The sequence below is a fragment of the Homo sapiens genome, chromosome 12 (assembly GCF_000001405.40).
Source record: "Homo sapiens chromosome 12, GRCh38.p14 Primary Assembly".
In the NCBI taxonomy this organism is placed as follows: domain Eukaryota; kingdom Metazoa; phylum Chordata; class Mammalia; order Primates; family Hominidae; genus Homo; species Homo sapiens.
In genome coordinates, this window is record NC_000012.12 from 124,002,686 (window position 1) to 124,015,466 (window position 12,781).

General features: G+C 43.1%; 2 protein-coding genes across 4 annotated transcripts in view, besides 3 other annotated features; both read left to right on the forward strand.

Annotated features, from left to right (window-relative positions):
• Positions 1-12,742, forward strand: part of ZNF664 (zinc finger protein 664) — a 42,213-nt gene extending 29,471 nt beyond the window's left edge. For both annotated transcript variants that reach the window (NM_152437.3, NM_001204298.2), the window contains exons 4-5: positions 8,696-8,756; positions 8,861-12,742. In NM_152437.3, coding sequence (NP_689650.1) covers positions 9,460-10,245 — 786 coding nt within the window. In that variant the 5' untranslated portion in view covers positions 8,696-8,756; positions 8,861-9,459 and the 3' untranslated portion in view covers positions 10,246-12,742. The remainder of the gene's footprint in view (positions 1-8,695; positions 8,757-8,860) is intronic.
• The window catches only part of ZNF664-RFLNA (ZNF664-RFLNA readthrough), a 342,810-nt gene that overhangs the window by 29,471 nt on the left and 300,558 nt on the right, over positions 1-12,781 (forward strand). The gene's annotated exons all lie outside the window — the stretch shown is intronic.
• Positions 3,930-3,979: an enhancer, noted in NCBI's record as "active region_7277". NCBI's record gives its function as "activates an Ori minimal core promoter by ATAC-STARR-seq in GM12878 lymphoblastoid cells {active_cell/tissue: GM12878}" and the evidence as "EXISTENCE:reporter gene assay evidence [ECO:0000049][PMID:35858748]".
• Positions 4,000-4,059: an enhancer, noted in NCBI's record as "active region_7278". NCBI's record gives its function as "activates an Ori minimal core promoter by ATAC-STARR-seq in GM12878 lymphoblastoid cells {active_cell/tissue: GM12878}" and the evidence as "EXISTENCE:reporter gene assay evidence [ECO:0000049][PMID:35858748]".
• Positions 4,280-4,339: an enhancer, noted in NCBI's record as "active region_7279". NCBI's record gives its function as "activates an Ori minimal core promoter by ATAC-STARR-seq in GM12878 lymphoblastoid cells {active_cell/tissue: GM12878}" and the evidence as "EXISTENCE:reporter gene assay evidence [ECO:0000049][PMID:35858748]".

Below are 12,781 nucleotides of genomic sequence, written 5' to 3' on the forward strand. Positions count from 1 at the left end.
GGATGTTGGTGTGCTTGACAGAGATGGGGAAGAATGAGGAAGGAACAGTTTGAGGGGAGATTTGGTTTGGAAATGTGGTTGTAGTGCCTTTCAGCAGAGATTATGGAGCAGTCCAGGGCTAGAGATAAAAATGGGAGCCAACATCTAAAGAGTATTTTAGATCACGTGACTGGTGAGATTACTTAGAGGGTATAGATTCAGAAAAGAAATGGTCCCAAGCAGGAGCCCTGAAGCACCCCAGGATTTAGAAGTTGAACAGAAGAGAGGTCAGCAGTAAAAGGAACAAGGAGTGGCTAGTGAGGGGCAGGGACGGGCCAGCTAAGAAAGCAGGTGTTTCCAGCCCTGTCTTGGGGCCCTGTCCTGACAGAGGCAGGACATGTTGGGAAAGAAACATGTTTTCAGTGGCATGTTGGGAAAGAAACCCGCCTGCAGGGGTGGGGCTGTGGTATCCAAAACAATTTTAAGAAGGAAGATACTAGAACATGTTTGTATGAGAATGGACCTATAGCTAGGATGGAATTGACAGTGGCAATGAGAGGGAGTACTTACAGGATTCCATTTGGAGAAGGCCCAGGAAGTGCACTCATGGGCACAAGTGGAAGGGCTGGTCTTTCCTAGGAACAGGGCACCCCCTGTTGGAGTAGAAGGTGTGAATGCAGGTGGCCTAGTGGATTTGCAGTAGGAAAATGAAGGGCTTGCCATCTAATTGCATCTTTTTTTTTTTTTTTTTGAGACAGAGTCTTGCTCTGTCGCCCAGGCTGGAGTGCAGTGGCACGATCTCAGCTCATTGCAACCTCTGTCTCCCAGGTTCAAGCGATTCTCCTGCCTCAGCCTCTGGAGTAGCTGGGATTACAGGTGCGTGCCACCATGCCCAGCTAATTTTTGTATTTTTAGTAGAGACGGGGTTTCACCATGTTGGTCAGGCTGGTCTCGAACACCTGATGTCATGATCCACCTGCCTTGGCCTCCCAAAGTGACGGGATTACAAGCGTGAGCCAATGCGCCCAGCCTGCTTCTATTTTCTTAATCAGAAACAGGCTCTTGGCAGGTTATCAGCCACGAGTGAGGGAGTCAGAGGGAAGATGGGAGATTTGAAGAGAAAGGAGAATGATGAAGTAGCAATTTAAAGTATTGGGAAAATGTGTGTACTGAAGACTTTTGGAGGAATTTAGGGGCACTCCAGTGCCCATTTGAGATGTGTGGTCGTGAGTTAAATAAACCTGGCATTATTCAGCCACTTGGGTGCGTGTATGGATAGATGGAGAGTTGGGTTTGAATAAGGTGCGGTGTCACTGAGAGTAGGTGGGGCCAGAGAGTTCTGGTGAGCGCAGAGAGAAGCTGTGGACAACAGACAGGGAACAAAGGGTCAGGCCACTGGGTGCAAGCCTACTGCATGAAGTTCCTGGAGCCAGTTAACTGGAAGGGGAGGGAGCACCCGGTGTCCAAGAATGGGTTGCTTAACACAGATTTGGGAGGGAGCACAGTTTCTGGGGGTGATAGAGCTAGAGTGTGGCCATGGAAACAGTGATGATGACAGAAGAGAGAGGTGAACCTGGGTGGAGGGAGGGCATAAGGAACCCAAGCCAGCATGGAAGCCAGGAAGTAAAGACAAACAGGGCCACATTAGTAGGACAAAGATTGAAAGAGGACTGGAGGTCCTGAGGGAGCAAAGAAAAGGTTCCATAGGATTAACAGAGCAGAAAGCTGGAACAGGATGTTTTGGTTAAAGGCTAGAGTTTCACTCAAGATGGACAGATTGCTTACAGACTTCTGGACTTGCATAGGTTGGTGTTGTCAGTGGAGGCGGAGGCAATGTTTATTTAGCTTTGTAATTTAGAACACTGTTGTATTCTTTCTTACGGCTTTAGATTGTCATACAGGGATTTTCTAAGCCAGGGGTCCCCAACCTGTGGGCCACAGATGGGTACCAGTCCATGGCCTGTTAGGAACCAAGGCCACACAGCATGAGGTGAGTGGTGGGAAGAAAGCCAGTGAAGCTTCATCTATTTATAGCTGCTCCCCATTGCTTGCATTACCTCCTGAGCTCCACCTCCTTTCAGATCAGCGGCGGCATTAGATTCTCGTAGGGGCGTGAACCCTGTTGTAAACTGTACACGCAAGGGATCTAGGTTGCACGCTCCTTATGCGAATCTAATGCCTGATGATCTGTTACTGTCTCCCAACACCTCCAGATGGGACCACCTAGTTGCAGGAAAACAAGCTCAGGGCTCCCACTGATTCTACATTATGGTAAGTTGTATAATTATTTCATTATATATTACAATGTAATAATAATAGAAATAAAGTGCACAATTTAAGTGTAATGCACTTGAATCATCCCAAAAACCATCACCCCTGCCCCCAGTCTGTGGAAAAATTGTCTTCCACAAAACTGGTCCCTGCTGCCAAAAAGGTTGGGGACCACTGTTCTAAGCAAAGGCTTCCTGGCTTCCATTTTATTATGGAAAATTTCAAATGAACTCAAAAGTAGAGAAAAAAACAAAATGTACTCCTATGGGCCTGTCACCACACGAGTTGAACCCAGGTTAAGAAACCGTGAGCTTTTTGCTGTTCTTATTTTGTCTACCCTCTCTACTTTTTTGTTCACACAAGAAGCCAGTTTATTACTTGAGTTGGGTTTTGTTGAATGACCACAGGTCACATACTCGGTGCTGGCAGTCTTACCATAACATGCAGTCAGCATTTTTGAAAACAATGTAAATATATAATACAGTTGTCTATCTTTTAGTTTCCAAAGTTTGTTACTTCACATTTTGACTGGATGATAATTTATAGAATGTGTGTGTGTGTGTGTGTGTGTGTGTGTGTGTGTGTGTGTGAGAGATAGGCCAGCATGTCTGTATTATCCTCATTATATAAAAAGAAAACAGATGCAAAGTAGTGTTAGGTGACATGTTGGCCTGAAGTTCCAAGATTAAGTGGGAATACATTTTAAAGTTCCCTCTTTGCTGTTCCCTTCTCTTGGGAATGTTCTTCATTCATACAGCATCTGCCCTCCATCTCACATCCCCCGTCTTTCTAAAGGCATCACTGGCCCATCCCTACAACAAGCTGTCTCCATGCCAGCCCCAAGTGCTAGTAAGACATTGTCCTATACCTCCCTGGTACTGGGCTCTGCACCAGTGTGCCCTTCTGCGTACTCTTTTCTTCACCAGCCTGGCAGTGGGATGTTAGTTGCTGGGCGGCGCTATTCTCTTCCTCAGTTGGTGGTGACAGCTGGGTCCCTGTGCCTCTGCAGTTCTTGCACGGAGGTCATAGCCTTGCGCAGAGCAACACAGACGAGGCACTTGGCCTCCTGCTTAGTAGTCGGCATCTGCTGGCTGAACACTGTGGACATAATCTGATGTCAAGGCTGAATGGCTGCTAATTCCTTTAGGAGTGTAACTGGATTTTTCTCTCCTGCCCAGTCAAGGTGATTAGTCTTTATTTCATATCCAGCCTGTGTTGAATATAATCCAGTTCATAGTCCACTTTGTGGAACATCGATTGTAGCTTACCAACCTCTACCTCCATGTAAATAGTTGGCATTCCTCTGATGCTCTGGTCATCCCATTAGGGCTGCTGCAACCAACTCCTGCAGCCTCGGCCCTATGCTGGAGTGGTAGTCTCCCCTTCATGCAGCGGGTTCGCCTCTTCTGCCGCTAGAGTGAGGAACTTTTGGTCTGAACAGCCTTCAAGGGAAACCAGCTTCATTCTCCCAGCCTGTTAGTCCTGTACCCCCGTCTTCAGGTTCCCCTTTCTTATGCCGTGACCCAGAGCACGTGTTCTCTCAGGATATGGTTCTTGTATTTAAGACTCAGTTTTTGACTTCCTTGAATCTTAGCATCAGTTCTTTATTAGCTAGTTGCCCTCAATTTTAATTGTACTGAAATATTAGTACTGATTCAGTATTCTGTGGTATCACAAACTACAGGGAGAGAGGAAAGGCTCCTTTTCATGAAAGGTGAGGATTTGAGGTAGATGGGCTAAATTTTAAGCTTTCGTTTTCTTGGTTTTCAACTGCACTGTCATTTTGTTGTTTGAGTTCTCCTCCAGTGTGAGTCGAGTGCACAGGATGCTGGGGGCGTTCCTGAGCTTGCAGGTGCAGGCTCTGAGTTTGTCCTTGGCAGCCTTCCTCCTCAGGTCAGAAAGAGGGACTTGCAGTCATGTGGGATGTCCCCTTGAAAGCCCCAGTAGGACGTTGATTTTGAGACATAAGGGGGAGTCTGGAGTGAGAGATAGCCTTGGGAACGTGGTGTGTTCAGGATCTGTGAGCTCTGTGGGGTTCCATAACCTGTATCTGCCTCTGGATTTACAGCTGCCTCTATCTGTGTGGAAGAGTTGGGTGGGGGCTGTGTTAGGCGAGTCTGTACTGGAGATCCTTGCTGTGTGTTGGCCTTTCTGTTCTTTGGTTGGTCACGTGGAAAATTTGCCGGAGTTTCTTTTATCTTTCTTTTTCCTACAGAATGCACCTTAACCCCTCTCATCCCCCCACCGTGCAGTGAGACTTACAGACAGGTCTGAGAATTTTATCTGGAAGGAATGGCAGTGCCTGATGCCTGAAGAAGAACTCTAGTGGGAGGTCATGTTGGACTCCCCTGTCAGGGACCTTGGTATTGAACTGTTGCCCTTCTGAGCAGAGTTGGACTCTCCTGAGGCTAGGCTGGCGGAGTACCCTAACCCTGGCAGCTTGATTCCTGGAGGGGGCTCTGGAAGACACCCCTGCTGGGGTTAGCTTGCCAGGCAAAAGAGCAGAGCGCAGTGCTGCTGCCTTTGTCTTTTGCTTGTCGCTGCCCTGCAGCCACTGCCTTCGCCTGCAGCCACTGCCTTTGCCTGCTGTCCAGAGGCCTCTTCCTGTGTTCATTCTCCTGTGCTCAGGATTGACTGGGGAAATGAGAGCCGTTTCGGGGATTATATTCGTTTCAGTCACAGTTGCCCCTCTATGCGGTGGTCCTGGGATTAGTTTGCCATTGCCAGAAGAGCAGGAAAGGAATATCTTAGCATTCACAGATTTTTTTTTTTAACCATGAAAATTTCAACCATACACAATATTTTACAATAGAATCTTTTAGAGTAGACTATTATCTCTTACCTAAATGCAATGGTTACAATGATTTTACCACATTTGCTTTGTCTGCTCTTTTTTACTTTCCCTTTTTTTGTTTGTTTGCTGAAGCATTTTAAGTCACACATGTCAGACGACATGTCCCGTCATTCCTGTTCTTCACTGTGCATCTCTAAGGCTGTAGACATTGGTTTACATAGCTACAATGACATGATCACATAGTTAACAGCACACAGTGTAATCTCATACCCCGAATCACATTTCCTTGACTGTCCTCTTTTAGCAGCTGGTTTGCTTCAGATTGCAAAGAAGTTCCTCTGATTACATCTGATTGTTATGTCTCAAATCGCTTTCATTTAGAGCAACTCCTCCCACCTTACCGGCTTTTTTTCCCTCGTGTCCTTATTGCAAAAAAAAAGGGGCAGTTGTGCTGTAGAGTGGCTCACCTTTTGATATTTTGCTACTTGCTTCCTAGTAGTTCCTCTGTCCCTTCAGTTCTTTCCATTAAAAATTAGCTCCAGAGGCTTGATTAGGTTTTGCTTCAGTCTTTTGACAAGAATGTCTTCAGAGGGTGCTGGGTGTTTCCCATTGCACCACAGCAGGAGGCACACGTGTCTGGTTGTTCCTCTTTGAGTCATGCTAAGATCGATCCCTGGCTTCAGGTGGTGACAGCCTGGTCCTGGCAGTGTCAAGTCCTGGATCAGCCTTCCAGCCGCTTTTTTCACCCATTGCTTTTCATGGTTTGAATCAGGTGTTTGATGAGGAGAATGCACATATTAGCTGGTTGTTTCTTTGTCTTGAAAGAGAGTTCATAGAGGAAATAGGATAGATGCTTCTCTCCATTTAATTACCAATTTTTAGGGTAAAAAGTTGGGCCCCTAGTTAATTCCAATTTTGTTCAGTGCCTTGGGTCTCTCCATCTCTCTGCCTGCCTGTCTGTCTCTTTCTTCCCCATTCTCTACAGTCATTATGAGCTCCTGGGGTTTGTATATTGAATGCGTCTCACTCAATTGCCTTTCTTATTCCTTTTGATGCTCAGTTGCATGATTGGCTCTGTGTTCCTTTGGCACGGCCCTCTTGCTTTCTGGCATAACAGGATGTCCCAGGCTCATTTTGTAAGTGCTACTCTGGCTTTGAACCCAGCCATTCCTCCAAGGACCCCTTGCCTCTTGGTGGGGAGAGGATTTAAGGGAAGGGGCTGTAGGTGTGCTCATTGCTATCGCTTCTTATTGCTTCCAGGTCTTTTTGGTGATAACTAAAAAGAAAAAAAAGTGAATTCAGACTGATATGTCTAAGTCAAATTTTATATTACAGAATTTTTTCTTAACTTTGATTTTATACTTAAATCTAATTTTTCCTACATTGAATCTTGGCTCCTAACAACTTTAACATAAACTACTTATTTGTATTAACCTACTTTAAAATACACCACAGTAACAGTTAAATTGTTGAAAGAAGTGTGATTTCTTTGCAGCTTATTTGTCAAAAGAATATGTTCTAGGTATGTGCAATCAGTATACTATGCTCAAAAGCCATTTGTGGCTATGTCACCAATATGATAGGTTTATTCTCTTTATTTTGTTTTAACATTCATTTAATTTTATTTTTTAACTATAGAAACATATGTTTCCAGAGTCATGTAACAGTATATTCAGAGAAGTCTTAACTGTATTCTCCCCCATAAGTAATCATTAAATTAAATTCTGGATTATCTTTCACCATGCTTATTTATTTTATTTATTTATTTTATATTTTATATTTTATTTTAGATAGGGTCTCACTCTGTTGCTGAGGCTGGAGTACAGTGGTGCAATCTTGGCTCAATGTAGCCTTGAACTCCCAGGCTCAAGCCATCTTCCTGCCTCAGCTTCCTGAGTAGCTGCGACTACGGGTGTGTGCCACCATGCCTGGCTAACTTTTTAATTTAATTTAATTTAATTTTTTTTGTAGAGACAGGGTCTCCCTATGTTGCCCAGGCTGGTCTCAGACTCCTAGCCTCAAGTGATCCTCCCACCTCGGCCTCCTGGCATGCTGGGATTACAGGCATGAGCCAGTGTGCCAGGCCAGAGTTTATTTTATATATTACCTTCCTTTTTTGCAGAAACGGTAGCATAGAACATATACTATTGTGTACCTTTTTTTTTTTTTTTAACTTAACAGTGTGACCTGGGTTCACTCCATGTCAGTGCACAGTGCTTGTCCTCATTCCTTTTTGTCTTGTGAGGAGGTGCCATACTCGACTCGGCTAGTTCCCTATCGATGGCCTTCGGTTGCTTGCAGTTTTGCTGCCAAATACTGCCTCAGTGAATAACCGGGTATATCAGTCATTTCCTATTTTTACCAATGTGTCTTTAGGATATATTCTAGAATTATTACTAGGACAAAGGATAGATGCAAACATAATTTTTGTAGATATATGACCATTTTTGCCGAAATTTTGGGGACCTAATTGAATTTTGTAATTGTAACACTTTCACCTATAAGCAGTCCAGTTTATTTTACATTTTAACATTACATCTCCTCAAACACCCATGCATGTTCTCTTTGTATGGAACATATTAAAAGTGTTACTTTAAGAAGACCTATTGATTTCATTTAGTTAATTTTAAAGTATCATAGCGTATAGAGTAAAAGAAATGAAAAGATTGCTAAAACATAGTCCTAAACCTTAAAAGATTTCAGAGTGAATATTTTGAGATTTATTTTCTTCTTTTATCTCCTCCTTATTCTATTTGTGGTGTATTTTGTCCCCTGTAGGCTATCAAAGACTGGAAATAAGGCACTAAGAAATGTACCTTTATCTGCTCCACCAGAATGAAGCAGGATATGTGTGTGGGTGCCAGAGGGTGTCCTGAAGTACTCTATAGATTTTCAGAAAATATTCATTGAACACCTCTCATTGCCAGGTTATAACAGAGAGCAACGCACACAGTTCCTCCTTCATGGCACTTACATCCTAGTACAGGAGACAGGTTAAAAACCAGGGAACCAATACGATAATTACAAGTCCTGTGGGCTTTAAAGGAATCAAAGGAGATGAAAACAGAGTCTAGCCGGGGGGCCTCTTTAGGTAGGGGAGGGGCAGCTGACCCACAAAGCTCTGCACAAAGTAGGGGAGGGAGTGGCTTAAGTGCTGGGAACAGCATGTACAAAGGCCCTGAGGCAGGAAACGCTTAGGGTGTTTGAGAGCTGAAAAAGAAAGCCAGAGGCAGGAAGCACAGGGAGTGAGGTGGGGAGAGGGGCAGGTCAGGTGTTTGAGTTAAGGATTGGGATTTTATTTTAAGTACATCAGGAAATCATTGAGGACAAGTAGGAGAATGACATTTGATACCAACACATCATGTACTTATTCTTTCTATAGATTAGAAGGCAAGTCAAATACGATGTTTTATCTCCAAAGGCAGCAATGTTGTACCTTCTGAAGTTCAAAGTGGAGATCGTTTTCATTGTTGTTCCTTTTTACAGGACAGCTGGTTTTCATACTCACATGTAGGTCTTTTTGAGGATTTCTTTTCTCTTTCAATAATGTTCCCCTTGATGTTGCTCAGATAATTACAATGAGTTATTGTAATTGGATTATATACTTGAGCTGTAAACAGGAGCATGATATCTACAAATTCTCTCCTTCAGACCTGCAAATCCAAGAGACACATCTTTGGAAGATAAGAGAGCTTCTTCAAGACCAAAAAAGGTTTGTGTTACTGCTGTCACATTTATATAAAATTAATTTTGGAATCAATAGCAGTTTTCCAGATAAAAGCATTTTCAATTTATTTATTTATGTTTCTATTACAGGAGACGGCATGATACCCATGTAGGGAATTCCCCAAAGCAGGGCTTGCCATACCTGGACCCCGAGGAGCCTGCTTGCTGGAAAGGCTTTCCTGTCTGATGTGCAGGAGGCAGAATGCCAAACTGACTCTTCAAGGGGCAACTGCAGGGGCTCGAGACCAGCCAGCAGTATCTCATCCTTCGATACAGGGGATATACTGTACAGTCCTTTTTCTAGAAGTGAGACATACAAGATTACTCTACAAGAGGAAGATTCCAGGGGCTCAAAAACGCAAAGGTTTGCACTTTGAGAGCCCCTTGGAATGTTGACAACTCAGGATCTAAAACAAAGTTCTGTGTTAATGAGTTACAGAATTCACGTGGAAGTCAATGTCACTTTATAATCGATAATAATACTGAGTGAGGAACACTATGCAGGAAGAAACCTTCCGTAGAAAGACAGGCAGGGAAAAGCTTAGGCTGACCTTAAACTTACCTAATAGAGCAAGCCTGAGATAGACTGCCAAAATGGCCAAATAAGAGACTCTATGAAATAACAGTCTTGTAACTGTAGTAATCATAAGGAAATTTTCTCCTTGAAATCACGATACCAAATAGGAAAAATGATCTACAAGTGCCCCATGTGTAGGGAATTTTTCTCTGAGAGAGCAGATCTTTTTATGCATCAGAAAATTCACACAGCTGAGAAGCCCCATAAATGTGACAAGTGTGATAAGGGTTTCTTTCATATATCAGAACTTCATATTCATTGGAGAGACCATACAGGAGAGAAGGTCTATAAATGTGATGATTGTGGTAAGGATTTTAGCACTACAACAAAACTTAATAGACATAAGAAAATCCACACAGTGGAGAAGCCCTATAAATGTTACGAGTGTGGCAAAGCCTTCAATTGGAGCTCCCATCTTCAAATTCATATGAGAGTTCATACAGGTGAGAAACCGTATGTCTGTAGTGAGTGTGGAAGGGGCTTTAGTAATAGTTCAAACCTTTGCATGCATCAGAGAGTCCACACCGGAGAGAAGCCCTTTAAATGTGAAGAGTGTGGGAAGGCCTTCAGGCACACCTCCAGCCTCTGCATGCATCAAAGAGTCCACACAGGAGAGAAACCCTATAAATGTTATGAGTGTGGGAAGGCGTTCAGTCAGAGTTCGAGCCTCTGCATCCACCAGAGAGTCCACACTGGAGAGAAACCCTATAGATGTTGTGGATGTGGGAAGGCCTTCAGTCAGAGTTCGAGCCTGTGCATCCACCAGAGAGTCCACACAGGAGAGAAACCTTTCAAATGTGATGAGTGCGGAAAGGCCTTCAGTCAGAGTACGAGCCTCTGCATCCACCAGAGAGTCCACACAAAGGAGAGAAACCATCTCAAAATATCAGTTATATAAAACGTTTTGCTAAGAGTTTAAAATCTTAAAACCCATAAGTGCCACTAGGAAGGAAACCCTGTATATACCTACATTGACCCAAGAAATATTTACGCAATCCCTAGCAGAACATTGTTTCTGAGGAGGCATATGTGAGATTGATTTGTTGGTTCATGCCAAGTGTGTTCCACAGGTTGACTTTGAATGTGGACCTCTGAGCATCCACGCAGGATGGCTCTCAGGTCCCAGTCACAGACGTCGCTTCCTGGGATTCCAGCACGATGCCTCCATAGTTGAAAGACTACACAAAAAGCCACAATCATTGCCCGGCCTCCTGAGTCACCTTCTATCTATACTTTGCTTAAAAGCTATCCCAGATACTCCCCCTTGAGGAGCTCATGCCCTTCCTTCCTCTTTATTCGAGCATACTGGCAATGCATTGGAAAACAGACAGCTCCCACTAAGATCACGTTCTGGTATTTCTGAGGTTAACACTTGATTTAGCCCCTACATATCTTTCCATATATCCTATTATTTCTGAATATATGTCCTCAAAATCCCCATAAATATCCATCCCTTCCTAGATGGCATTAACTTTCATTTTAGATTTTAGGTGACTCATAATTCCCATTCACTTAGCCTATCAGAAAAGTCATTGGCAGACATATATGTCCTTGAACCTTTTTTATTTGTGTGGATTCTGCTCATCACTGTCTCTGTTAGACTTATTTTGTAGTGGCTGCATCACATATTTTTCACTTGAATTTTTTTGGAAATAGCTGAATGTAAATAGCAGGGAGGAAGAAGCAAGCAAAGTGAGAGCTTTTCTTCATCCAGAATTGCCCTCTGGGCTCCTTTGGTAACAGATGGAGCTCCTTCCTAGCTAGGGAGACCTTATGAGAAGTGGATGGTAGGAGGAGTCACTAATGTTTCAATCTCTATTTCTGTAATCTTGGGCAATAATGCATAGGAGTTCTTGATACCCCTTCATTGATTACTGTGTATCAGTTCTTTGTTAGGCATGAACGTCTTTATTAATCCATCATTCTTTTCTTCATTCAACAAATATGTATTGAACACCTCCTATATGCCAGGCACTGTGCTAGGTGCTGGGAATACCACTGATGAGACAGACAAGGTCCCTACTCTTGTGGAGTTTACTTCTGGTGGAGGAGACAGATGATAAGTAAACAAATAAATAATGTAGTTTGAGATAGTGATTAAGTGCTATGAAGAAAATAAACTAGGGTGATGATTTTAGTGGTGGGGTGGGGTGGGGGTGGGGTGACATTAGCTAGTGGTCAGGGAGGCCTTTCCGCGGTGGGATGTTGAGCTGAGGCCGGAGGAGAAGTAGCAGTCGCTGGCAGAGCACACAGGCTGCTCTGGGGGATGAGCTGGTGCGTTTAAGGAACAGGCCAGCACTGGCATTCGCAAGCAGTGGGGAAGGGGAGAGATGCCGAGGTGGTCAGTATCCTGACTTTCAGAGGCCTTTTTTTGTTTGTTTTAATTTTTGCTAGATTGATATTAAAAACTCATGTGGAGGAACTCAAGGAATGTTTAGAAGACCAAAAGTCCCCAATGACAGGAACAAAAGCAACCAATTTTTAACTTTCTCTTCTCATTCCTGTTTTCATTGATTTCCCACATGTAGTCCTTTTGCTCAGGAAGTCTTTGGGGAAATTAAGGATCTTTGAAGCTCTGAAATAGGTGATCAGGTTAGTGGTGTCTGTCAGCTGTCTAAGAGGTTGGAAAATGAACTACTCAAGATAGTCACGAAAATACTGAAAGTTTGATTTTTCTTTCCATATTTGAATTAATTTTTTCTGTTTGACTGGAAGGGGTTTTTGTATAACTAAAACCTCAGCGCATAAAGGAGATTTAAAAGGAGCACATGATTTAGTGGGTGGGCCATGAAACTAGAGATGGGATTTGGGGGTGAATTTGTCAATATCTGGATTTTAATCCAGACATCTCTGCTAACAAGCCTTTGGTAAGTCACTTCAGATACTTTTCCTCCTTTTTACAAAGAGAGGGCTGGCTTAGTTATTTGCCAAAGCCCCTTCCAGGCCTGAATTCCACAAGTACGATTTACTGTAGTGTCTTATCACTCTTTCATGTCACAATAGCGTGGAGCATTAGAGAAAAGCCTAGACTTTTAGTTGATAGCCAGTTGAAATATCATTGATAGAATTTTAGTTTTAGGAAAAATTGGTTTGATTTCTAGCTTTATTACTATTAGGTATGTGAGCTTGGGCAAATCGCTTAATCTTTGAGTCTAGTTTTCTCTCAAAATGAGAACATTAGGCTAAATGATTTCCGAGTTTCCAGCTAGTCCTAGAGTTCTATATTTCTACATAGTTGAATTATTTTATCATGCTGTTGCTGGGGAATATGACTAACCCTTTTGAAGCTACTAATTTTATGTCGAGCTTTAAAGTCCATAATTGTTATCTTCAGAAAATATTATTTGACCTACAGTATGTCCAAATCAATTTAATAAAATCGCTTTATAACAGGGTTCTGTGCTTGACATGTAGTTGTGTGAATTCAGTGGTCG